Raw genomic sequence first — 27,797 nt, 5'->3', positions numbered from 1 at the left:
CCCAGCTACTTGGGAAGCTGAGGCAGGAGAATCGCTTGAACCCGGGAGGCAGAGGTTGAAGTGAGCTGAGATTGCGCCACTGCACTCCAGCCTGGGCAACAGAGTGAGACTCAAAAAAAAAAAAGAAAAAGAGAGAAAGAAAGGGGAAGACAAAGGGGGAAGAAAGATATGACAGAGGCTGATCTTACTGGTAATGTGATGTGTGGAACTCTGTTAACGGCTCTGAGATGCCTGAGTAAAAGAATAAAATATCGGGTGGTTTCAGCCTCATTTACCAACTATAATACTTGCAGTACATAAACCATTGGTAAAAAATGTCAGGAATGGCCTTCTTGTTAAGCTGTGACAGATGATACATGCGCCTGTTCAGTCCCCTCTATTGTTTTGCTACCTCCTCCTGAAAGGGGGAGAGCTGTGAGCTTTCTCATAGTGAGGAGATGGGCCAGCTGGGCCTAGGAAGGGGCAGGAGGTGGCAGCTCTTCCCAGAAAAAGAAACTTGGAACAGGAATTCTGTTAAAAATAGAAATGATGAGTAGAAAGAGAAATACATCTTTGCTTGAAGACAATTAGGAATATTTGTTTGGTTTTCCCTTAAAGACTTTAAGCAAAAACACATCTATGAACAAGAAATTAAGAAATAGAATTAGTATTAATATGTTAAAGTTCTTAAAGCAACAGGACGCCCATCTTTTCCTACACTTCTGACAATCATTACCGAAATCAATTGTCTTAGGCCAGGTGTGGTGGCTCACCCCTGCATCCCAGCACTTTGGGAGGCCGAGACAGGTGGATCACCTGAGGTCAGGAGTTCGAGACCAGCCTGAAACCCCGTCTCTACAAAAATACAAAAATTAGCTGGGTGTGGTGGCACAGGCCTGTAATATCAGCTACTCGAGAGGCTGAGGCAGGACAATCGCTTGAACCTGGGAGGTGGAGGTTGTAGTGAGCCGAGATCGCACCACTGCACTCCAGCCTGGGTGGATCACAAGGTCAAGTAATCGAGACCATCCTGGCTGACACGGTGAAACCTCGTCTCTACTAAACATACAAAAATTTGCTGGGCATGGTGGCGCATCCCTGTAGTCCCAGCTACTTGGGAGGCCGAGGCAGGAGAATCGCTTGAACCCAGGAGGTGGAGGTTGCAGTGAGCCATGATTGTGCCACTGCACTCCAGCCTGGGCAATAGAGTGAGACTTTGTCTCAAAAAAAAAAAAAAAAAAAAAAAAGAAAAAAAGAAAGAAATCAATTGTTTTCATTTACTTCACAGTGATGTCATTTATTGACTTCATGTGGATGTGTATAAATGTACTGAAACCTAAAAAAGTTATAATAATGGAAAAGCAGTTTGGTATAAACATAACACTAAAATCAGTTCCTTATATTACCTTTCGGTATAACAATTAGAAAAGTCCTTATAAGAGGCCTTTTTACAATAATAACGTAGCAGAAAAACTTAATTTTGTTGCCTTGTTAAATATTTATTTTCGAAATTGCAGTTTCCAAATTACATTGACAACGTTCTCATATGCCAAAGTGCTTCTAAAACTGACAGAGGTAGACAGTTGGCCATGATGAAGTCCTGTTGCATACTGAAATATCTTTCCAGACCTATTTGCAACCTCCCATTACTGTTTTTTCTATAGTGTAAATCCTATCATTATTTCTAGCTACCAAAAAAAAAAAAAAAAAAGCAAAGCATTTCTGAAATAATCTATGTGCTGTTGAATGCATGTAAATACAAAGTCTTCGAAGACTATGTATTTTAAAGTCTTCAAAACGGGCCACCACCGTGTTTACCAGAATCCCCTGGAGTAAAGCTCAGTATGAGGCTGCTGTGGGCATTCACTAGATAGAAATTTGAAGCAAGTTTATTAACCACTCCTTTGAGAATGATCCCTCCAGTTGACTTCCTTTCCTACAACTTTGTCTTCCTTGTCATCAGGTTAACTTTACACGCTTTTTATTTCTTTTTTAAACTACCTTTTTACTCTCCAGGTCCCAGGCCAGGTAAGGAAGCAGACAGACACAATTAAATGTGGCTATAATCCTTAAAGTGGAAAATGGGAATGGCTGGTGAGGTGGTGGAGGAATGCAATGTCTTGGCAACACTTGACGCATCTGAAAATAAGAAACTGATTCATCTTCATTATAATCAGAGGACTACTGGTGTAATTTGAAACATGGTGATTAAGGAAAATTAAGTAAAGCCCAAAGGGTTTTTAATATGGGGAAAAAAATCAGTAAAATAAATGTACATTATTACATAATCTGAATTTTAACTCCTCACTGCTATTTATCATCATTATTGGTTTCTCTTTTTTCTTTATTTTTGTTTAGAGACTGGCTCTGTCATCCAGGTGAGAATGCAGTGGCTTGATCACAGCTCACTGCAACCTGGAAATCCTGCCTTAAGCAATCTCCCGCCTCAGCCTTCCCAGTAGCTGGGGTTATAGGCTCACACCACCACACTGGGCTAACTTTTCTATTTTTTTGTAAAGATAGGGTCTCACTATGTTGCCCAGGAGACTCCTGACCTCAAGTGATCCTCCCACCTCAGCCTCCCAAAGTGCTGGGCTTATAGGCATAAGCTACCACACCCGGCAATCATCATTGTTGTTATTTTAAAGTTTATTGCTAAGCACTGAGCTGTCTGCTTTATATGCATTCTCTCATTTCATCTTCACCGCAACCCTAGGAGACGGGTCCCACTCATCCCATTTTCCCGGAAGCTGAGAAAGGCTCCATCACTCCCCTGAGGTCACACAGAGAGTAAATGCCTCAAGCCATGCTCAAACCAGGATCTGCTGACAATAGCCTGGGCACTGAAACCCTACAGGGTCACTTCAAAGGTTTTATACCTTAACACAGTATATTTAAACAGGAGGAGGGGTTTGCTGATGATTAATTTTGAGAGTTAAAGGTAATTTTTATCAGGTGTCAGGTAGGAGCCAACCAAAAACAGCCACCCTGATTGACTAGGCACCTCCCACCTGCCAAGATCATCACAGGCTATATCTGAATTAGGATCAGTCCCATTCACATGCGGTACCCACTGCCTTCATGTTTTCATATGTATACATCCCATGGCATGTTTTCCTTCAGCCAAGCACACCAGCTTTCAACCATCTGCCACGTTCAAGACTGGCTCATGAGTTCTCGTCCTTCCTTCTCACTAATGCATGCCTTTACACTCCTTTAAGACATCCCATTTCTTGCCAGCCACCACACGGTGGGCCACTTGATCCCTCTTTATGGACAAGTCTCTATATACCTCGTCCCACAGAAACACACTCCTTCCCCAAACCAGTCACAGGGAGTCAGGGCAGACGCATTCGATCAGCTCTCTGAGCACCATGCTACTTTCAAGTAATATGAAATCATGACATGATGGGGAGCCTGGAAAGCAGGGTGTTTTAGCTCTAGAGAATTAGGAATCATTCTGAAATGAAGACAAATCAGAAATGAAGAGAAAGATGGAAGCTCTGAAGAGAGCCTTCAAAGGAAAATGCTCACGTATTGAAATGGAAACATACAAAGAGGTTCAGGAGCTGTGTAGAAGAGCATCCGTATCACAGACAACATATGAAAAAAAGCTCAACACCACTGATCATTAGAGAAATGCAAATCAAAACCACAATAAGATACCATCTCATGCTTAGTCAGAATGACGATTGTTAAAAAGTCAAGAAATGGCCAGGTGTGGTGGCTCACGCCTGTAATCCCAGCACTTTGGGAGGCCAAGGCAGGCAGATCACCTGAGGTCAGGAGTTTGAGACCAGCCTGACCAACATGGTGAAACCCCATCTCTACTAAAAATACAAGATTAGCCAGGCGTGGTGGTGTGTGCCTGTAATTCCAGCTACTCGGGAGGCTGAGGCAGGAGAATCACTTGAACCTGGAGGCAGAGGTTGCAGTGAGCCAAGATCGTGCCATTGCACTCCAACCTGGGCAACAAGAGTAAAACTCTGTCTCAAAAAAAAAAAAAAAAAGTCAAGAAACAGATGCTAGCAAGGTTGCAGAGAAAAAGGAACACTTTTCCACTGTTGGTGGGATAAATTAGTTTAACCATTGTAGTGATTCCTCAAAGATCTAGAGGCAGAAATAGCATTTGACCCAGCAATCCCATTACTGGCTATATACCCAAAGGAATATAAATCATTCTATTATAAAGATACATGTGTGCGTATGTTCAATGCAGCGCTATTCACAATAGCAAAGACATAGAATCAACCCAAATGCCCATCAATGATAGACTGGATAAAGAAAATGTGGTACGTATACACCATGGAACACTATACAGCCATAAAAAGGAATGAAATCATGGATGGAGCCGGAAGCTGTTATCCTCAGCAACCTAACTCAGGGACAGAAAACCAAACAGCAAATGTTCTCACTTGTAAGTGGGAGCTGAACAACACATGGACACAGGGAGGGGAACAACACACACTGGGGCCTGTTGGGAGGGGGTGAGGGAAGGGAGAGCATCAGGAAGAATAGCTAATGAATATTGGGCTTAATACCTGGGTGATGGGTTGATCTGCACAGCAAACCACCATGGGACATGTTTACCTACGTAATAAAACTGCACATCCCGCACATGTACCCCGGAACTTAAATGTTGAAGAAGAAGAAGAAAAAAAGAATCCCTATCACTATGGCTAGGTGATTGTGGCAGGTGTTCTAACACTTCACACAGGAGTGTGTGTAAGGAAGAAGCTTCTTAGAGTAACTTCTGACACACACATACACACACACACACACACATACTTGTGTGCACCACAGACAATCTGGGTTTTTATCAGGGCTGTTCTCACTTCATCCATGAGCTCTGCATGCCATTTTAATACACTGATGGCTTAAAAGCCTTCACCAAACATCAAAATGGCAATTGATTATTGCAGGAAAACATTTCCTGTTCAGAAATCAAGTAACAACCCACACTTCACCTGAGGACTCTTAATTCTAGTGAACAAGAAATTTTGAAATAAGGACACCAAATAATGGCCCATTAAAACATTTACAGCAGGTGGGGTGCGGTGGCTCACGCCTGTAATCCCAGCACTTTGGGAGGCCAAGGAGGGCAGATCACCTGAGGTCAAAGTTCGAGACCAGCCTGACCAACATGGTAAAACCCCGTCTCTACTAAAAATACAAAAACAAAATTGCTCGGCGTGGTAGTGGGCGCCTGTAATCCCAGCTACTCAGAAGGCTGAGACACGAGAATCGCTTGAACCTGGAAGGCAGAGGTTACAGTGAGCCACTGCACTCCAGCTTGGGTGACAGAGCGAGACTCCATCTTAAAACAAATAAACAAAAACAGGTACAGCTTTTCCACATACACATGATCAATTATCATATACTTTACTTAAACATGTGTTGGACAATAATTACCTATATGACTTATTTAATAAGTTGGAACACTTGCCCATCTAATTTTACTGAGACAGGAACAGTAGTATAGATTATCTCACAGCAACTGGTCTGCATACAGTACGTACTCAAACAGTGTTCATTTGGTGGATAACAAGGCCTTAAAGACAAAAGCCTTGACTTATTTGTGCTAAATGACTTGAAACTGTAACCCTCAATCAAAATCAAATTTCAGCCAGCCAAAAAAGGCAGGGGTTACCTGGACAATATTAACTGGAAAAGGCTGGAAGTCATTAGCTCAACTTCTCATCTCCTGAGTCACATAGATTGGTAATGCCCCTCAAAATCAAGCTATTTTACTTGAAAGTCGCGATGCAATGCAGTTGTATATATTAAAATAAAGAATCTACACAAGGACCGACCTCTTTATGGGCGGTTTGTCAAGGCAGATGAATGTGATTACACCCTGGCGACATTAGGTAATCTGCTGCTAAATATGGAAACTCATGGCTAAGTTATTCCGCTCATTGTATCAAAAACAATGAGGAGCCCTTAGGATATATCTGATTGTCTCGCTGACTATATTGCTGTTGATCTCATCACAGAAGAATCTTAACCAAAAGTTATGTATTGATCCAGAAACAGTCACAGGCTTGAGGATCTGCAGGGGAGCAGGCAGAGGCACCGTGCAGATGGAGCTGGAGGGTGTCTGCAAGGTGCGTGGGCCAAAGTGATGGGATGTTCCCCAGAAACTTGACTTTCTCAAAGAGCATGGGGCCAGGGGGTAAACACGAAGATGTCCTTCTGTCATACTGTCCAGGAGGCCTGGTCCTAATTCATGCCCCACAGGGTGAAAAAGGTGATGTGGGGAAAATTTTCTTCCCTCTTTAACCTAAGAGAGTGGACTCTTACGGACGAGGTTTCCATAAGTGATTTTTCAAGAGATATGAATTTCCACAGCAGCAATTTTATAATCTGAACAGAAGTGCCCTCTGCTTTTTCTTGTAGTAAATGCAGCTTCTATCTACCACAAGATGGAAAAAAATAAATTTTTTTAAATTAAAAATTAAATCTTTAATAAAAACATTAAATTTACTGTCCTGGGAAAGTAAATTTGCTTTCCCAGGACGGATTTATCTGAGGACAGGGTAAGGCACTGCCGGATGCAACATGAAGGCCTCAGCCGCAGGGCTGGCTCCCGATGTAGCGAGGTGGGAAACACATCGGCCTCAAGGTCAGGCAGTCTGGGTCTAGGACTCAGGCCCTGGGCGAGTTACTTCCTTGCTGAGGCTCCGTAGCTTCAGCGTGAAGCAGAAAGAATACAACCACCAGTGTCTCCTCATCATTCCAGGGGTTAAACTGCACACATGGTCCATTCAAGGCAGCTCAGCACACATGTGCAGGTGTTGGTGCCTGCTGTGTGGCCGTCTAGGTCCCAGGTTCCTTCCCAGAGCAGCAAGGTAGGTCAGATTGGAGCCTTTTTGGGTTCAAAAGTAAATGAACTCTATATGCTGATAAATCATAATAAAGAATTATCCCCCCACCATTCTCTGCCACTGGCAATACCAGTGCCGTAGGAAGGCTAATTTACTTAAGCAGCTTATTACTAACCATCAACGTTGGCAGAGAGTCTGAAGATTATTGTCAGGGGAGACCTGTGCATAAAAAGTCCTGGATGCCGGCCAGGCGCGGTGGCTCATGCCTATAGTCCTAGCACTTTGGGAGGCCTAGGCGGAAGGATTGTTTGAGGCCAGGAGTTCAAAGCCAGTCTGGGCAACAAAGTGAGACCTGTCTCCACAAAAAAATTAAAAAACTAGCCAGGCGTGGTGCCATGTATCTGTAGTCCCAGCTACTTGGGAAACTAGGGCGGGAGGGTTGCTTGAGCCCAGGAGATCAAGGCTGCAGCGAGGTATGATCACGCCACAGGACTACAGCCTGGGTAACAGAGCGAGATCCTATCTCAAAAAAACAAAAAGTCCTGATGCCGGCCAGGCACAGTGGCTCATGCCTGTAATCTCAGCACTTTGGGAGGCCAAGGCAGGTGGATCACCTGAGGTCGGGAGTTTGAGACTAGCCCGACCAGCACAGAGAAATCCTGTCTCTACTAATAATACAAAAAATTAGCCGGGTGTGGTGGTGCATGCCTGTAATCCCAGCTACATTGGAGGCTGAGGCAGGAGAACTGCTTGAACCCTGGAGGCAGAGGTTGCGGTGAGCCAAGATTGTGCCATTGCCCTCCAGCCTGGGCAATGACAGTGAAACTCGATCTCAAAAAAAAAAAAAAAAGAAAGAAAGTCCTAATGCCATCTAAAAGTTTCCAAGACCCTTGCCCTCTTGCTGTGACCACCCAAACAACAAATCCCGCCTCTCCTCTCCCACCTATATCTTTTTTGAAACTGACTTGTCCTCTCTCTCATCGCTGCCTTGACCTTGTTCTCATCTCTCACCTGGACTACTGCAAGGACATCCTAACCCAGCTCTCTACTGTGGGTCTGATTCCCCACAACTTTTCAAACCTATCTAACATGATTTTCTAAAACGCAAATTTGATGTCATGCCTCCTGGGTAAAATCCTTCAAGGACTCTTAAATCCCTCCCGACCTTCCTGGGCTCATCTTTGACCACTGTCTTGCTCCCCCTCAACTCCCTCACCTCTACCAACACAGGCACTCACTCACTGCTCTTTCAGGAATGTCCCTGTTCCCTGCCCTCTCATGTCGTTTTATTATTGTCTATTCTTTTCTCACTGCCAGTATTGGCTGTCCTGCTCATCACCACCTGGCTCATTCATCCTTCAAGATTCTTCCCAGGAATCCTCCTCTGACCCTTCCTGTCCCCTGTCTGGGTCAGGTATTCTAAGTCTTTAAGCACAGGGTCATCATCATGTAGTGCTATAAAAATATCTTTGTCATTCCTTCTCTCCCTGAAACTGGTATCAACAGTTAGTAGGCACTGTGCTTTAGTGTTCCCAGCACCTAATGAGTGTAGACTCTGCAACCTCATGGAGTGAATTCCCAGAAATGAGCAATGTGCAGAGCACAGGAAGGCAAGGGTTAACGGTGCCCCCGCTGCTCCCTCTCTAGCTAAGAGGCGAGGGCTGTACAGAATCTTGACCCAGCCCAACATTCCTCCCTTGCTCCCAGCCTTTGTCGCAGGGGCAGCATTTTTTTACAACACCACCTCTTGAAGATGACAAAGGTCCCTAAACTATGCATTTCGTTTTTAACTCTCTTCCCACCCACCTCACTCCCGCTTTGCACAAGAAACGCTTCTCTAATCAAAAGTAGATTAACTCTCACCCTTTTCTCTCTGTGCATTTGCATTTGGAACAGCATTTACGAGGCCATAAACAGACCCCTGGGTTGAGTAATTTATCCACTGCTTTATGGAAAATCAGACAAAAGCAGCAGTCTTTTCAGCAGTTGTGTATTTATGGTCGGCAGCTGCTGGGCGGCCAGCTCGGCAGGTCCCCTCCTTACGAGGCACCCACTTCGGGCTTTCTGAAAGGTTAAGGGCATCACCGTAAGCCCCATTATGAAACTGAAGGGACACTTGTAACATTTCTTGTGGATCCAAAGAGATAAAGGCTTTTTTCAAAAGAAAATATTTTAAAGTATAAAGGGATGGCTCCCCCTGCCTCTCCCAACACACACACACCCACCCCACAATGTCCTTCAGGGGTGATTCTGCCCCAGCGAGATCCTGCCATTTGAAACAGCAGACTCTCTCCATTTTTAAAGTGGTCTACTTTACGGGGGTGGGGGTGAGGGGTGTTGGTCATTAGGAATTAATTTATATTAGTTTAACAAAACAAAGAATCTTTCATAAAAATTTTATTTTTTTGAGACAGGCTCTGGCTCTGTTGCCCAGGCTAAAGTGCAGTGACATAATCACAGCTCACTGCAGCCTCCACCTCCCGGGCTCAAGCCATCCTCCCACCTCAGCCTCCCAAGTAGCTTGGACTACAGGAAGGCACCATCATGCCTAGCTAATTTTTGTATTTTTTTGTAGAGACAGGGTTTCGCCATGTTGCCGAGGCTGGCTTTTAACTCCTGAGCTCAAATGATCTGCCTGCCTCGGCCTCCCAAAGTGCTGGGATTACAGGCACGAGCCACTGTACCACGACTAAAATAAAGAATCTTAACACTCAGTTTTGCTTTGGGTTGGACGGAGGCTGGCAATTTCTCATCATGTCTGCATTATTTTCATAAAACCTCCTCCCCTTACAGAGTAAGGAGGATTCTTTGTTTTTATAAAGTGTCATCTTACCTCGGTTAAGGGATCAGTTATTGTACAGGAATCTTTCCTAAGTATTAAAAGGTAATTCTAATTAGTTAAATCCTGATGCAGGTTGCAACATGAATGAACCTTGGAAACATGCTGAGTGAAATGAGCCAGCTGCAAAAGGACAAATCCTGTAAGGTTTCACTTACATGAGGGATCCAGAGTGGGCAAATTCAGAGAGACAGAAAGTAGACTGGAGGTTGCCAGGAGCTGGGGAGAGGGGAATGGGGAGTCAGTGTTTAACAGGTACAGAGTTTCTGTGTTGGGATGATGAAAAAGTTCTGGAAATGGACAGTGGCCATAGTTGGGCAACATTGTGTATATACTTAATGCCACTGAATTATGTATGTAAAAATGGTTAAAATAAGTTTTAAGTTATGTATGTCTTCCCACAATGAAAAACCTTTACAAAGTTCATTATAATTAAAAACTTACTGTTTTATGAAGGCCAGCCAACAGACAATATATTTTATTTTATTTTTTTTTGAGACAGAGTCTCGCTCTGTCGCCCAGGCTAGAGTGCATTGGTGTGATCTTGGCTCACTGCAACCTCTGCCTCCCAGGTTCAAGTGATTCTCCTGTCTCAGCCTCCCGAGCAGCTGGGATTACTGGTGCCTTCCACCATGCCCGGCTTTCTGTATTTTTAGTAGAGACAGGGTTTCACCATGTCGGCTGGGCTAGTCTCGAACTCCTGATCTCAGGTGAATCAGCCACTTTGACCTCACAAAGTGCTGGGATTACGGGCGTGAGCCACCTCGCCCGGCCACTACAATATATTTGAGATACTACAGCAAACATTATACAAATTTCCCTTGCTATTTAGGCTCATCGGTAAGGATTTCAGTTTTGCTCTGGGCCATAATTCACAAGTAAAAACTACCAAGAGGATCAAGGTGAGTCCTCACCCTTCCAAATGGCCTTATATTAATTGGACTACTAAGGAGTTCTTTCCTCTGGCTCCTTGGTGCTGTCACATCCACCTCCTCCTACCCCCGTCCATTTGCCATGGGCTAAGAAACCAAATAATTAAGCTTATTTTAAACATGTAGGGTAAATAGGCTCTTAGTGAGAGCTCGGGGCCTCTCCCTGGGGAAAGACACAGGCCTCACTGTTGGGCATTTGAAATATCTATTTTGGCTGCTCAAAGGACTTACTTATTTCCTGGTTGCATTTTTGAGGGCTGAGGCTGGTGGAGATGCCATCGCTAGTCATCAGTAGACTTATGCTTCTTGAATTAGACTCATTTACAGAGGATGAAGCTGAGGTCAGAATGGTTATTTGTCCATGGGCATACAGCTGACTGTCAGCATGGGTCTGAAGCCCAGACCTGTGTGCTCTGTCCATTAAATTAACTCCAATTTGACTCAGCTCAGATCAAAATTCTGAAAAAAAAAAAAGTATTCATTCCACCATTGCAGCCCTCTATTACAGTGGAAATGAATTCCAACTACATGAAGACACGTCAGGTAAATTAAAATTGCAACAAAATATCTTTTTTATTTGTAAAGTTAAAATAATTTTCTGAAATACCTTAACATAGATTAGGAAGCATAACAATATTACAATACTTTAGAACGTACTAGAAATTATTGGTCTTGTCCAACTATTATATGAATATCTCTCATTTGAATGCTTACTATACCTAGCATTGTGCTCAACATTGTACACGGATGATCTAATTTTTGCAACAATCCTATTATTCCCATGTTACAGATGAAGACACTGACAAATTGAAAAGTTTAGTAACTTGTCCAGTCAAACAGGGAAATGGCTGGGCCAGGATCTGGATTCAGTTCTTGGAGATTTTAAAGTCTGTTTTCTGTCATTTTGTTACTTTCCATGGGGATCAGGAGGTAATTTGTGCCGCCTTTTTTTTTTTTTTTTTTTTTTTGAGATGGAGTCTCGCTCTGTCGCCCAGGCTGGAGTGCAGTGGCGGGATCTCGGCTCACTGCAAGCTCCGCCTCCCGGGTTCACGCCATTCTCCTGCCTCAGCCTCCCGAGTAGCTGGGACTACAGGCGCCCGCCACTACGCCCGGCTAATTTTTTTGTATTTTTAGTAGAGACGGGGTTTCACCGTTTTAGCCGGGATGGTCTCGATCTCCTGACCTCGTGATCCGCCCGCCTCGGCCTCCCAAAGTGCTGGGATTACAGGCGTGAGTGTGCCGCCTTTAAAAGTTTGTTTGCTTTATTAAAAAAACATTCCTGTTAGGGTACTAAATCTCAACACTGATCGTCTACTGGAATCTGCAGAACTTCAAGGAAAACGGACCCCGGCCCCAGAGACTGGGATTTCGCTAGCCCAGGGTGCAGCTTAGGTGGAGGGAATTGTACAAGCTCCCCAGGTGACTCCCATGTGCAACCTCGGCTTTAGAAAGATTCCTAGTTTTCAGCTGTTCCTCCTAACCAGATTTCTTAGGCAATAGCCTTTAGTCGCTTAAGTAATAGCCCCTCTAAACCGGTGTATGTAGGCTTCCTATCCTTGGTATTAATATAACTGATGCAGTTAATTGTGTATTTCTCACAAAAGACATTATAATATTTTCTTTATTCCTCCTTTTGAAGTAAAAATGTTCTTCTAGTAGATATTTTCTTTTTTTTTTGAGACAGAGTCTTGCTCTGTCACCCAGGCTGGAGTGCAGCGGCATGATCTCAGCTTACTGCAACCTCAGCCTCCTGGTTTCAAGCGATTCTCCTGCCTCAGCCTCCCAAGTAGCTGGGACTACAGGTACCTGCCACCATGCCCGGCTCATTTTTGTCTTTTTAGTAGAGACGGGGTTTCACTATGTTGGCCAGGCTGTTCTCGAACTCCTGACCTCGTGATCCACCCACCCTGGCCTCCCAAAGTGCTGGGATTACAGGCATGAGCCACCGCTCCCAGCCCTTTGGGTGCATTTTCTTACCAAAAGTAGTCCTTGAACATTCTAGATAAATCTGAATACAAGTAAATTTATGTATTTTATCAGTAGTCTTCTTTTCCTCATCCCTTTTCACATAGGACCTGAAACTTCAGAGCCAGCTCCTACTTTAGAACAGGAGGTGGCAAAACCAGGTCCCAGACTATCAACTGGTCCTTTAATTATCACATACAGATGAGCCTAGAAAGTCTCTGTGGTCTTACAGGATAGCGGGTGCCAATTTCTCACCCTCAGAAGGCTACCTATATTTCTGCTAGGGGAAAAAAGGGTAATGTCACAGATTGCTTTAGACTCATCTCAAAACATTACCAAGGAAGTGACCTTAATTGTTCCCCTAGCTCAGATTTCCCTCTGTCTCAAGGCTCTGGTTTTGTCTGAACCACGTGGCAGCTGGTCGTAGATGAAGTGGCCAGCTCTTCCCTTCACACCTGTCCACGCTGGATCTCACCCTGGTCAGTGGCTGAGATGTAGACAACTGGGCAATCAAGTATGTTTCCAGAAAATTTCATTGACAAGTATGTTTGAGGACCCGCCTTAACTGGCACGTAGGAGGCACTCAATAAAATGTTTCAGGTTTTTTCCAGTTGTCTCCAAATGAAACGGCTGGGAGGCAGGGCTAGGATGCATCCCGGCACTGCCAATATTTAGCTGCAGGATCTGGGGTGTGAGCAGCTATCAGCTGTTGAGTGTTTATGTTATGCCAGGTCGGTGCTAATCACTTCATGTGCATTAACTTACTGAATCCTCATACCATTTTAAAAGGAACACAACATCTCCCCCATTTTAAGATGAAGAAACTGCAGGTCATAGAAGGAATTATTCAACATCAAAGATAGGTGCAGTGGCTCACGCCTGTAATCCCAGCACTTCAGGAGGCCAAGGTGGGTGAAATCACTTGAGGTCAGGAGTTCCAGACCAGCTTGGCCAACATGGTGAAACCCTGTCTCTACTAAAAATACAAAAAAAATTAGCCGGGCATGGTGGGGGTGCGTCTGTAATCCCAGCTACTCGGGGAGGCTGAGGCAGGAGAATCACTTGAACTGGGGAGGTGGAGGTTGCAGTGAGCCGTGATCGTGGCACTGCACACTCCAGCCTAGGTGACAGAGCAAGACTCCGTCTCAAAAAAAAAAAAAAAAAAAAAGGTCAAAGGTAGTAAGTGAGAGCCAGGATTTGCTTCCATTTGGAGAAATCACTGGCATCTCTGGATCTCCATTTCCTTGTGTATAAAAATGACAGCAAATACTAGAAAATTTACTCAGCAAATATTTACGAATGGCCTATTAAGTGTCAGACAGTGCTGAGTGTGAGGAATATAAAACATATAAAATTTTATAAAATATCAAATAAAACACTCCTTACTCTTTCAGAATTTATGGTGAGATTTAACTGAGTTATTTCCAGTTCTAAAACTTGGTGTGGTTCTAGTAAATTGAAAATCCCATGCCATTGGAGGTAACCTAAGTGTGCATCAATGGATGAATGGATAAACGAAATGCAATCTACACACACAATGAAATATTACTCAGCCGTAAGAAGGAAAACAATGGACACTTGCTATCACATGAATGAACCTTGAAGATAATATGCTAAGTGAAGTAAGCTAGTCACAACAAGACAGATAGTTTGATTACACTTATATGGGATACCTCAATTAGTCAAAGTCCTAGTGACAGAAAGTAGAAAGCTGGTTCCCTGAGGCTGGGGTGGGGAATGGGAGTTATTGTTTATTGGGTGCGGAATTTCAGTTTGGAGGATGGAAAAGTTCTGGAGATGCATGGTGGTGATGGTTGTACAACAATGTGAATGTACTTGATGTACTTGGTACCACTGAACTGCATGCTTAACTTTTTTTTTTTTTTTGAGACGGAGTTTCGCTCTTGTCGCCTAGGCTGGAGTGCAATGGTGCGATCTTGGCTCACTGCAACCCCCACCTCCTGAGTTCAAGCGATTCTCCTGCCTCAGCCTCCCGAGTAGCTGGCATTACACACATGCGCCACCACGCCTGGCTAATTTTTTGTATTATTAGTAGAGACAGGGTTTCACCATGTTGGCCAGGCTGGTTTTAAACTCCTGACCTCAGGGGATCCACCCACCTTGGCCTCCCAAAGTGCTGAGGTTACAGAGGTGTGAGCCACCACGCCCGGCCAAAAGTTGTTGTTAATTCTGATGTATATGTTACCACAATTTAAAAAACGGATTTAAAAAATTTCATGAAAGCTGCTATCTAGAACAATTGCCATTCCCTTTAAGTGGCAAAACAATCTTAGTGGGAAGAGGAAAAATCAGAAACATAAATGATAAGAAAACAGTTAACTACTAAGTTATGTAGGTTAAAAAGTCATGAGTTAGTCCAAGCTGTCTTTCCTGTTCTACGTGTTACAGAACAGGGCTGCCTGGACTGTCACACTAACTCTCGGCTTATCACGTGACCCAGGTAAATCTTCAATGTGATCAGTTTTCGAAGGTGCAAGTAACACTTCACTTTGGAAGAAATTTCTGGCCATGGGAAACTTCTCCCAACTGAAGGCTGGTGTGTTTAGAAGATAATTTTCTGAATTCTATAATTTTCTACCCACTCAGTATAATTGAATATTCAAGATGGCACACACTTAAAATGCAGCATGATTCTAACCCAACCGAACAAGACCTGTTTTAGCAAATCTCCAATAGAATTTTGCCTACAGGCGGTCTTTGCAATATATCAGCAGACCAGTAATAATAGCTACTCAATCACCTGAGTTAACTGAAGTTTTTAAAATGCCTGTTCATTAAAAGTCAAAATGTTGCCTTAAAAGCAAAGCCTAAGAGAATAAAAAGGAACTTTGCAGTTACAGGCATTTTTGAAAGTGTTTGAGCTTGCAAATGAACTGAACTCACCTAGTTATGTCCATGAAAATAACAGCTATCTATATATTCTACTTCCCTCCCATTACACTGTCTGTCCTCTCCTTTAATGCACTCACTCTGAAACTACAAATGTAGGTGGAAATTTTAGCATTAGAAACTCACTGATATGTTAAGTCTCCTTGGCATACTAAGAGTTTCACATTCATAGCAAATGCTATAGTTTATGCAAGAATATTTGACCAAATTATGCAAATCCTTTCAGTAAAAAACTTCCTACAACTATTTACAAGTAATCATGCTAGTTTTCAACAATATAAATCAACTCTCATACTACTAAGAGTTTAAAATTCTTTCAAGCCATTTTGTTTTCTTATAAGATGGAAATTAAAAGTGAATTAAGGATATTTGTGGCAGTTTTTATTAGTCTTATTTAACACTAACGGAAGACCATGTTTTTTTGGCAAGGGTCTATCATAGAACTCTTTAATCTTCTAGTCTGAGTAAAGGGGAGGAAGAAGCGGTGAAACCTATTTGTAACAAGTCATAATACTCCAAAGAATAGGTACAGTCAGTTCTGCTATGATGTTTGTTTTGAAAACATGAATTTGTTCCCACGAGATTAATATGTTAGGGAACAATTTGAACATAATTCTCATTTCTGAATTTTGCTTTTGCAAGATTTCACCCATGAGAAACACTGGGTGAATGCAGAAAATTGCATCTAGTGACAGCAGCATAGGAACAAAACACGAAGGCTCCCGACAACCTAGCGGCTATCTTGGTCTCCCCTGAGTGCATTTGGAACCTGGCCCATTCACATCAGTCTGTCAACTCCCAGCCCGTGGCAGGTGACCCTCCCCGTTGACAAGGCATAAGCTGCAGCTCTGCCCACAGCCTCCCCTCTTTAATTTTCTCTTTCCTCTCAGTCTATCTTATATTTTTCTTCTTTGTTCTCTATTCTTTTAATCTTTTTCTCCCTCTCTTGCTTCCTTTTGTTCTCCAGGGTGGCCGGTGTGGGCAGCTGGTGGCTTCCATAAACTTCAAATCTTTTTCAAGGTGAAGTTCCCTATTTACTATAGCATGTATGTATGTCTTAATCATTTGTCATGTATAAAACTATGCCTCCATTTTTGACTTTTTTTCTATATGTGTCATGGATGAATTTTTGAGTGTTGTTCTTGGTACCCCATTTTTCTCCGCATGTGATTTTGCTTTTTTTTTTTTTTTGAGATGGAGTCTCGCTCTGTCACCCAGGCTGGAGTGCAGCGGCGTGATCTAGGCTCACTGCAACCTCTGCCTCCCAGGTTCAAGCGATTCTCCTGCCTCAGCCTCCTGAGTAGCTGGGATTACAGGTGCCTGCCACCACACCCAGCTAATTTTTGTATTTTTAGTAGAGCCGGGGTTTCACCATGGTGGCCAGGCTGGTCTTGAACTCCTGACCTGAAGTGAACCACCTGCCTCGGCCTCCCACAGTGCATGAGCCACAGGCATGAGCCACTGTGGCTGGCCAAAGTGCGTGATTTTTGAGAACACATATGTTATGCGTCATAGAGTTCAAGCACCACAAAACGACGTTTTGGTCACTGATGGACTGCAGATATGATGGTCCCATGTGATTATAATACTGCATTTTCACTGTACCTTTTCTGTGCTTAGATACACAAATGCCATTGTGTTTTAGTTGCCTACATTATTCAGTATAGTAAGATGCTGTATAGGTTTGTAGCCTAGAAGCAAAGGGTTATACCATATAGCCTAGGTGTGTGGTAGGCTGTACAATCTAGGTTTTGTAAGTAAACTCTATGATGCCTGTATAATGGTAAAATCACCTGACATTTCTCAGAACACATTGCTGTCATTAAGTGACACATGGCTGCATTACTGCAGGACTGATCATAGGTACTTTGAAACTCACATAGCTCTTTCCCTCTATCATCTATACTCTCCTTCTTGGGTCTTAGACATTTGATATGGGAGTAAAAACAATCCCTGTGTATAATATATTTTCAGATCATGCATTCTTGCAACCGGGGAAGAATGGCCTACAAAGCCTGATTGGGACCACATATATCCCGGATTTCCTTGGACTGACTCAACTATTTGTCCCAGCTCCAAGTTTCAAGAAGCCAGTCAAGATTGTCAGGAATTCAAAGGTGACCTTGCCATTATCTGAGATTTAGTGTTTCTCAGGGTGACACTGAGGGATGTCACCACATTCATAATTATCATACCAAGAAGTGATTACACTATGGCCACAAAGTTCTTGGTAATTTGAAAACTGTACCACAAGTAAAGGTTAACAATGTAAATTTGTTCTCTAAAAGTCCACCTCTGAAAAGATGTGAGCTGACTTCAATTTCTTATGGAAAAGCATCCACAACAATGTGGGTTGATTTGGGGAGTGCAAGTCTTAAAAATGCAGTAAAAATTTTTTAATAATTTGTTTTTTTTAACTGCCTACTTTTTCTTCTGGTGCCCACGTTCTCATTTTGGCTTCTTGGAATGGCTACAGAAATGAGGTTAAAAGAAGGGCAGGGGCCAGGCGCGGTGGCTCACACCTGTAATCCCAACACTTTGGGAGGCCGAGGCAGGCAGATCACGAGGTTAGGAGATTGAGACCATCCTGGCTAACTCGGTGAAACCCCATCTCTACTAAAAATACCAAAAATTAGCTGAACACGGTGGCATGCACCTGTAGTCCCAGCTACTTGGGAGGCTAAGGCAGGAGAATCACTTGAACCCGGGAGGCGGGGCTTGCAGTGAGCAGAGATTGTGCCACTGCACTCCAACCTGGGCGACAGAGCGAGATTCCATCTCAACAACAACAACAACAAAAATAAAAAATAAAAAGTAAGATGAAGGGCGAGGCAGTACAAGGGAGGGCATTCAGTTTTCTTACAAACTTTATCAATGTGACAATGAACCTTCAGCTTCCAAGCATCGTTCTATTAGGTATCTGATGGCTTTCGTCCATTACCCTTATTGATTCCCTCCCACTCACAAGGTTTTCAGAATGCTACCAAGATAAGCACAATCCCTGCCTTTGAACTAGGCTAGACCCAATATTTATTAGCCTGAAACACTAACTATGGTGTTAAATAATTTCACAGAGCCCTACTGGCAGGTCAAATGAACTGGAATGAGTAGAAAAAAAAGGAGGGGGTGGGAGGTAATCAGGAATGATGGGAGAAAGGGTAGGGAATAGGGGTGGAGACATAGAAGAAGGGAGAGAGGAACAGTAGGAGATACATTGGTCTGAAGCCCTAAATAAAGAATGCATTTAAAACATTTTATGAGGTTATTTAGTAGAGACAGTAATGTTCATCTCAGCAGGTAAGCACCACCAAAATCTTTCTTACTTTCTTCCTTATTTATTTATTTTTTGAGATGGAGTCTTGCTCCGTTGCCCAGGCTGGAGTGCAGTGATGCAATCTCAGCTTACTGCAACCTCCACCTCCCGGGCTCAAGTGATTCTCCTGCCTCAGCCTCCTGAGTAGCTGGGACTACAGGCATGCACCACCACTTCCGGCTAATTTTTTTTTTGGATTTTTAGTAGAGACAGGGTTTCACCATGCTGGTCAGGCTGGTCTTGAACTCCTGACCTCAAATGACCTGCCTGCCTTGGCTGTCCCAAAGTGCTGGGATTACAGGCATGAGCCGCCACACCCAGCCTCTTCCTTTTTATTTTTAGTGAGGGTGGTGGGGGATACACCATCACTAAATGATAGGTTTTACAATGAGAATGGCTTTGTTATACATAATGCATGCCAGAAACTGCAGGTTGTTTACAAAAATTGTTTCCTACCTTCTTTGGACACACGGCTAGACTGCACCTCCCATCCTCCCTTATAGGATGTAGCCAGGTAACAAGATTCTCATTGGGAGTTTGAGAAAAGGGATGTGCATCAGTTCTGTCTGTCTCAGAAACCTTCCCCGTATGTATCTCCATGTCTCCTTGCCCGTCTAGTTGACTGGGATGGCAACCTCAGAAGCCATGTCCTGAAGACAGCAAGGCCTCCTCAGCCTGGGTCCTTGAATGACTGCATGGAGGAGTGCTGCTCCTCCTCACCTGAACACTTGCAAAGGATGGTTACAGGACAAAGAAAGAAACTTGGGTGAAGTCACTAGATTTGGAGATCTGTATGTTACTGATATAGTTTGGATCTGTGTCCCCGCCCAAACCTCATATTGAAATGTAATTCCCCGTGTTGGAGGTGGGGCCTGGTGGGAGGTGACTGGATCATGGGGGCGGATTTCTCAGGACAGTGAGTGAGCTCTCGTAAGATCTGGTTGAGTGTGCGGGCCCTCCCTGCGCTCTTTTTTTTTTTTTTTTTTTTTTTTTTTTGAGATGGAGTCTCACTCTATTGCCTAGGCTGGAGTGCAATGGCGCTATCTTGGCTCATTGCAACCTCTGCCTCCCAGGTTCAACTGATTCTCCCGCCTCAGTCTCCCCAGTAGCTGGGATTACAGGTGCACACCACCACACTCGGCTAATTTTTGTACTTTTAGTAGAGACAGGGTTTCACCATGTTGGCCAGGCTGGTCTTGAACTCCTGACATCGTGATCCGCCCACCTCGGCCTCCCCGAGTGCTGGATTCCAGGCGTGAGCCACTGCACCTGGCCACCACGTTCTCTCCTGACATGTGTCATGCCTACTCCCTGTTCGCCTTCTGCCATGGTTGGAGGCTTCCTGAGACCTCATCAGAAGCAGATGCTACTGTGCTTCCTGTAAAGCCTGCAGAACCATCAGCCAAATACATTTCTTTTCTTCATAAATTACCCAGTCTCAGGTATTTCTTTATAGCAACACAAGAATGGCCTAATATAGTTACTGTGGCTTAGCCTATCCTTAATGAAACACTATGTGTTCCAGATATTTAAAGCTGTCATTTTCAACCAGGGACAATTTTGTCCTCCAGGGGGCACTTGGCAATGGCTAGAGACATTTTTGGTCGTCACAAGTGGGGACGGTGGTGGTTCTATTAGCTTCTAATGGATAGAAGTCAGCCTTGCTGCTAAACGTTCCTACAACGTACACAACTCTCCCTCATAGCCAAGAACTATGCAGTCCAGAACGTCTATGGTACTGCTGGTGCCTGCTCTAGAGAGATTAAGAAGAGGGCTGAACTTTGAACCTTCTGTTATAGTCAAAGGGGAGGTATGCAGTGAAAGCAGTGGGTTTCGGAGAAAGGCCTGCTTTTCAGTTCCAGCTCAACCACTAGCCAACTATGTGACCTGGGGGATAAGTCACTTTGTCCTCTGTACATTCAATATTCTCATGCTAAAATAGGAATTAAACTAGTACCCACATGATGGGACAGTGAGTGAGCAAATTAAGTGCCTAGTGCCTGATACATGGTAAGTGCTCAAATATTAATTGCTGCTAATGTTATTTTTTAGTGTTTTTGTATTATTGAGGCGTCTATCTAGAAAATTTAGAAATGGTAGCTGAATAGTATGTTTATAGCTGCGGGAATCTATTGAGGTGATGGGGATGGTTACAAAACTTAAGATGTCACAAGACACTCATTGCCTACATTTTGACTCAAGATCTAGCCATAAAAGTTTGGAGCAAATAACCCAACCTGACATCAGTCACAAAGTACACATGAACTCTTGTGTTCAGCCGACAGCTACTTTTGCAGAGCAACTCTGCAAATCTCAACTCATTTTGCTCTCACCGAATGCTGCCCACCTTGAACTGTTTTCATTGGTCATTAGCAATCAATCAGCAGGTATTTATATCACATTCAAAATGGGCAAACCCATTAGAAATGAAAAGAAGTGAAAGATCAGTTCTCCCTGCCCTCCTTCCCAGATCAGGTTGCAGTATGAAGATATGAACACTCAAAATCACTCACTGTTGCCACCTTCTAGGTTTGTGCTGCTGTTGTTGAGGTGGTGAAAGACGAGAGTAAGGTTAAGGTAAGGTGGGGAATAAGGGGTCATAATAACAACAACAATAACACAGAGATATGGAAATATGTAGTCAAAGTGAGATTTTTGAGAGATTATGTAAAATGATTAGATGTACTATTTAAGGAGTGACTCCGAAATAAGCAGAAAACTAACACGTTTGTCTCCAAATTATCATAGATATTAAATGGTTTTAAGAAAGATCTCATTCACCCGTTACGATAAAATCCCTTGGAGGAAAAAAATAGACACATTCACATAAAAGTGCTCAAATGCCTCATAAAAAAGTACATTAAATGATGCCAAGTACCACAGTGTAAGTTCCTTATTAAATCCACCCACATAACGAGCCTTCATTTAAAACAATCCCTACCAACTCCTACGCTTGAGCATGGAACACATTTTTCTCCCTCGGTATTTAAAAAACGTTAGTCTAAGTGAACCTTGTAAGAAGTGTCCAATAAATGTTATTTAAATTGGAGGGAAAATATGGAGAGAAGATATCTGTTAAGTAAAAAGACAATAAAATCTGCGACAATTCCCCTCTTCTCAACAGCCTTCTTTCTTGGTGCAAAACCTGCCTCTTTTAGTCCAGCATCCTAAGCAGGTAAGGCTGGGCCAGGGAATGCCTATGCACAACCATTCCACTATGGCTAAGGAAAAAGAGTAAGATGCACACTGCCCTTTCCATACCAAACAATTTTGTCTCTCTAGCAGGATCAATGGGAAGACAGGCTTAATCAGAAACCACCTCCACACTTGACAGTACTGTCCTCAAGGGAGGGGTGCCCCCAGGACAAAAGCCAACTCAGATTCCATTTCATCCAAGTCACAGACATCTCACAGGGCTAAGAGCTAAGTGTCCAGGCAGAGTATGTGCTGAAATCACTGCACAAGCTCTCTGGGCCTGAATCCTGGATTTCCTTCTTTCATTCTGCACAAATTTTGGAGAAGGTTTGCTTCCCCAGCATAAGACAGTTTTCAATTAATTGGATATCACCAGTACAAAGAGAAGCCTCTTCTAGGCTATGGCAGTGGGGAGAATAGCTTTCAATGTGTTTCAGGGCACTAAGTGTGTGAAAAACACCCTTCTCTCTTTTATCTTCCCTGACACTGTCTGTACGATCACTCAATAAACAAAGAGTCCACATAGACTAACGAACACAGAGCTTGGGGTTGGTGATCACCATTCTAATCCTTGTTTAGCTACAGTTTTGAATAATGCTGAATGCTTCCCATAAAGATATGCTTATGCTTCTGCTGTTTAAATTTTGAACATCAAGGCTAGAATACTTATGGTTTTTTTTGTTTTTTTGTTTTTTTTTTTGACAGAGTCTCACTCTGTTGCTCCAGCTGGAATGCAATGGCACGATCTCGGCTCACTGCAACCTCCGCCTCCTAGGTTCAAGCCATTCTCCTGCCTCAGCCTTCTAAGCGGCTGGGACTACAGGCATGCACCACCATACCCAGCTAATTTTTGTATTTTTAGTAGAGATGGAGTTTCACCATGTTGGCCTGGCTGGTCTCAAACTCCTGACCTCAAGTGATCTGCCTACTTCGGCCTCCCAAAGTGCTGGGATTACAGGCATGAGCCACTGCTCCTGGCCCCATTACTTAGCTTTTTTTTTAAAATACACTTTATGGATAAAGGTCCATGAAAAGGATATTAGCTCTCTGGCATATAATGGAAAGAGATAAAATCACGTTGTAATTAACAATTCAGCCCCTTTTTTCACTAAATGTCCTCAATATCACCAAATATGGCTTAATTTAGTATCTCTCAGAGCTCAACGATGCCATTCTGTAGTAGAAATGTAACTTCTAATTACACAGCATTAACATTATGAACTATTTTAAAACTTTACTAACAGGTTACAACAGGCCGTGAACTATATCTGAGGCCAAATCTTATGAGGTTCTCAAAAGCTCTTTTATAGATCATTTAGAAAGATTAAAGACACCCACCCTACCCCTGACAGCCCGTGCCCAGTCAATCGAAGGTCCCATTAAACATTAAACAAACCCTTATTTTCTGCTTTCCAACTATGGATTTCTATCTCTCCACAAATTGTATCATTGGCAATTTAACTTTTAAAACTTGCTTTCATATTTATCATCTCATTTTATCTGTGAATGCAGTTAGGGGCATATATAAAATAGAAATAACAGCTCCATTGTTCCTTTGACTACGGTTCACAGTCAAGATCTTACCTCTTTCTCTAAAATGTCAAGTGTACAAAAGTAAATGACTAGGAGCAGAGGACGGAAGAGCCACGGCTGGGGAGGGGACAGGGGTTGAGAGAGAAGGATCTGGGGAAGAATGAAGAGCAACAGGAATAAGAACCACCACATTTTGGGGTTCAACTTTCAGAAAGCATTAGGAATTCATTTCTGAATTCCTAAATGGCATAGGAAAGAAAGATACCTAAATATGTGAGATTATTTTAATACGATGTCTCCACATATGGGAAAGAAGGGCATAACACACTCTTTACATGTGTAACCAACATCTGGGAATCCTATTGCTCAACTGGGGTTAGGAGGATCTCTTCTCAGAAATAAGCTGCTCTGATATTTGCGACTGTGTTGAAATGTCAAATCATCATTCCTGCTCATGTTTTTTAACTCGGTGTATACACAAAAATGTTGCTGTTCACAAGTCGTAAAAATGAAATCTAAACTTGAGTGGTAAGGATTATGTATCTATACGGCATGCAGATAAAATGTACTACTAATGGGGGTAATTAAGTTGGGAGGAGATTCAATAAAGCAGAGTGTACAAAGTCAGAAATCATGCTACTGTAGAAATTAAAAGTGACTTCAATTAGACGAGCTTCTTTTCCCCCAGAAATTATTTTTGCTTGGAAAGAGCCAGCTAAGGCTGGGCTCAGTGGCTGTCACCTGTAAGCTCACCATTTTGGGAGGCTGAGGCAAAGGGATCTCTTGAGGCTGGCAGTTTGAGACCAGCCTGGACAACATATTGAGATCCTGTCTCTACAAAAATTAAAAAAAAAAAAAAAACTTAGCAAGGTGTGGTGGTGTGCACCTGTAGTCCTAGATACATGGGAGGCTGAGGCAGGAGGATTGCATGAGCCCAGGAGGTCGAGGCTGCAGTGAGTCATGATCGTGCCACTGCACTCTAGCCTGGGTGATAGGGTGAGATGCTTATTCAAAATAGATAAATAAAGAGCCAACTAAAAAAAAGTCCGTCTTTTAGGCAGGGTAAAAGTTTTATCATAGTAGGCTGTCAATGAGCAGCACTTTTCTTAATTTAAAATTTTGCATTTGAAAAATGGAGAACATTAGAGAAGTCATTTACAACATTATACAAATAGGTTAGAAATAGATCAAGGAAACAGATTTTAAAGGAGTTGATATTCTATGTTTTAAAAGAATACCCAGGCCGGGCGCGGTGGCTCACGCCTGTAATCCCAGCACTTTGGGAGGCCGAGGCGGGTGGATCATGAGGTCAGGAGATCGAGACCATCCTGGCTAACAAGGTGAAACCCCGTCTCTACTAAAAATACAAAAAAATTAGCCGGGGGCGGTGGCGGGCGCCTATAGTCCCAGCTACTCGGGAGGCTGAGGCAGGAGAATGGCGTGAACCCGGGAAGCGGAGCTTGCAGTGAGCCGAGATTGCGCCACTGCACTCCGCACTCCAGCCTGGGCGACAAAGCGAGACTCCGTCTCAAAAAAAAAAAAAAAAAAAAATACCCATATGACAGCCTTTTATTGGGTAGAGTTACTGCAGGCTTGACAATAATTGTTTACTTTTCATTAAGAAAAGAACTCGATAAAAGTGGTCTAGCCACTCTGATAAAGTTGTGATCTGGAGAAACAGAGGTGGTCTCATAGCCAAAACAGATGAAGAGGCTTCAACCAACTAATCCCTCATATGAAACAATTCTAAAGTTTTCTAGGAGGACAGGGTAAATGATGCAAAGCATTCTAGTGACTTCTGGAACAGAGGAGCATCTAGCTCTTCCTGCCTGGGTCCCTCCCTCTTCATTTGGGACTCTTTCTCCCCAGGCACGCTTCTTTCCAATACTCACCCCCTTCTGGGCCTCTCCTTCCCCTAATTTCCATCTCAGATTTCCAGTGGGTTCATTAGAAATAACCAAAACAATAATGGTAAAATCACTCATTAAGGTTTTTTTTTTCTAATTAAATTTCTGCTGTAGTGAATTGGCTAATCTGATTTTTTGTTTTTGTTTTTGTTTTTTAAAGATGGAGTCTTGTTCTGTCACCCAGGCTGGAGTGCAGCGGTGCAATCTCGGCTCACTGCAGCCTTCGCCTCCCAGGTTCAAGCGATTCTCCTGTCTCAGCCTCCCAAGTAGCTGGGATTATAGGCATGCACCACCATGCCCGGCTAATTTTTGTATTTTTAGTAGAGATGGGCTTTCACCATGTTGTCCAGGCTGGTCTCGAACTCCCGACCTCAGGTGATCCGCCCGCCTCGGCCTCCCAAAGTGCTGGGATTACAGGCATAAGCCACCGCATTCAGCCTAATCTGATTATTTTTGTGAAAGACTTCAGGTAAAACATAGTGTATGCAGTGATCACTCTCAGCTAGCAAACTTAGAGAAGGCTGGCAATAGTGACAAGTGTAGTTTCCATTTACTAATTGATTACTATGTGCCAGGCATGGCTGCAGAGCTTTTTATGCTATCTTATCCAATTCTCATAATAACCCTATGAGGCAGGTCCTACTTATTAGTCCCATCTGACAGTTGATGAAACATGGCACAAACTTATAGCCTAAGACAGGGGTGAGCAAACTGTGGCCGTTGGGTCAAACGAGACTCTAAAGAGGTACTGGCATGTCCAGGCCCCATTATTCACAGTGTACATGGCTGCTTTTGAGCTTCAGTGGCAGAGTTCATCAGTTGTGACCAAGACCTTAGGCCCCATAAGGCCAAAACTATTTACTATCTGGCCCTGCCTAGAAAAAGCTCACCAACCCCTAGTGTAAAACACAGTTGATTCATGAATAAAGAAAAAAGGCAAGAACACGTGGACAGCTTCACATAGAACTTACATTGAAATTTCTTAGAAAAAATAAATTCTGTCTTTATCTGTTTTCTTTCATTCATCTCTTACCTGTTTCTTCTCACCTAAGGTTTATCAACCAGCCTCAGGAAAAAATAAATGTTAATGGAATACTAGTTCAGTAATTAAAGGTTTCTCTCTATAAGGTGAGTTTTAGATTAGGTAGACTAGTTTCCAAGAAAGAAAGGAAAAAAAAGCATAGCCCAAAGAAAGCTTTAATAACCATATGTTTCCTGAGAGGCTGTAAAATTTTTGGCTGTTTTACAGGTATTTCTTCTCAAGTACAAATGACATCATTGTTGAACTTTTTAAAAAACAGGCCTACTTTATTCTACATTTGGTACCACATATTGTTTCGGTTGACCATCAATTGACTTTTCTATTTTTACTGGGAAGGTACATCATAACTATTTTTAGTAGACAGTCTGGTTCTATCATTTGCGGATCACACGTAGTCATGCTTTAGAATTCTTTTTCTAAAGCTATGAGAATGTATTTGGGGGAAGAACATGCTCATTGGCAATATTCTACTGTACTCTGAAACATACTCTAGAGTCAATGTCTAAAACAGGAAACAGGTAGTAACAAATGAAAGAATCTGGTGTATTAGTAGGCAGCAAAGCAAGTGTAGCTTTATAATATATAAATCTGCCCTTGAGGCCAGGCACGGTGGCTCATGCCTGTAATCCCAGCACTTTGGGAGGCCGAGGCAGGAGGATCACCTGAGGTCGGGAGTTCGAGACCAGCCTGACCAACATGGTGAAACCCCATCTTTACTAAAAATACAAAATTAGCTGGGTGTGGTGGAGCATGCCTATAATTCCAGCTACTCAGGATGCTGAGGCAGGAGAATTGCTTGAACCCGGGAGGCGGAGGTTGTGGTAAGCCAAGATCGCACCATTGCACTCCAGCCTGGGAAACAAGAGCTAAACTCCGTCTCAAAAAAAAAAAAAAAAAAAAAAATCTGCCCTTGAGATAGTAATATTTTTAACTACAATTGAGAGTGAGTTAACATCTGAGCTCCTCTGATAATTCTTGCTTTATCCTTTAAAACGACCCAGAAAATCAAAATCGAATAATTGAATTTCCAGAGGATGTGACCTGGCACATAAGCTGAGCTCAATTCACATGAAATAATTTGTGCAAGTAATTTATAATCATAATAATAACATATGCAAAATAATTTATATAGGATTACTCACTGTAAAAGTGAACAGAAAGGAGACACGAGACAAGACAAAGCCCACGACTTTTCTCTACCTTTCAATCCTTTCCCCAAACACCAACCAATACAGGAATAGCAGACAGCAGCGGCTGCAAACCTCTCTGCACATTAAAATCACCTGTGCATCTTCAACAATTCCACCACCCAAGCCCCACCCAGGCCAATGAAATCACAGTTGCTGAGTATGAGA

At 43.0% G+C, this 27,797-nt stretch overlaps 1 protein-coding gene and 1 long non-coding RNA gene across 11 annotated transcripts in view, besides 3 other annotated features; one reads left to right on the top strand and one right to left on the bottom strand.

Moving 5' to 3' along the window:
- PLEKHG1 (pleckstrin homology and RhoGEF domain containing G1) overlaps positions 1 to 27,797 on the bottom strand; it is a 243,781-nt gene that overhangs the window by 81,340 nt on the left and 134,644 nt on the right. The window lies entirely within an intron of this gene.
- Positions 8,764 to 9,265: an enhancer, noted in NCBI's record as "NANOG-H3K27ac hESC enhancer chr6:151074197-151074698 (GRCh37/hg19 assembly coordinates)". NCBI's record gives its function as "activates a minimal SCP1, AML or CMV promoter by ChIP-STARR-seq in naive H9 embryonic stem cells {active_cell/tissue: H9 hESC(naive)}" and the evidence as "EXISTENCE:reporter gene assay evidence [ECO:0000049][PMID:30033119]".
- LOC124901430 (uncharacterized) lies at positions 16,350 to 22,661 on the top strand. The gene is made up of 3 exons (XR_007059811.1): positions 16,350 to 16,472; positions 17,427 to 17,569; positions 19,384 to 22,661. It is a non-coding gene; the product is annotated as an uncharacterized LOC124901430 (long non-coding RNA).
- Positions 19,333 to 19,833: an enhancer, noted in NCBI's record as "H3K4me1 hESC enhancer chr6:151063629-151064129 (GRCh37/hg19 assembly coordinates)". NCBI's record gives its function as "activates a minimal SCP1, AML or CMV promoter by ChIP-STARR-seq in primed H9 embryonic stem cells {active_cell/tissue: H9 hESC(primed)}" and the evidence as "EXISTENCE:reporter gene assay evidence [ECO:0000049][PMID:30033119]".
- Positions 19,834 to 20,334: an enhancer, noted in NCBI's record as "H3K4me1 hESC enhancer chr6:151063128-151063628 (GRCh37/hg19 assembly coordinates)". NCBI's record gives its function as "activates a minimal SCP1, AML or CMV promoter by ChIP-STARR-seq in primed H9 embryonic stem cells {active_cell/tissue: H9 hESC(primed)}" and the evidence as "EXISTENCE:reporter gene assay evidence [ECO:0000049][PMID:30033119]".

The sequence above is a fragment of the Homo sapiens genome, chromosome 6, assembly GCF_000001405.40.
Source record: "Homo sapiens chromosome 6, GRCh38.p14 Primary Assembly".
Taxonomy (NCBI): domain Eukaryota; kingdom Metazoa; phylum Chordata; class Mammalia; order Primates; family Hominidae; genus Homo; species Homo sapiens.
Note: the sequence above shows the minus strand (reverse complement) of the source record. Positions and strands in the feature narration are given on the sequence as shown.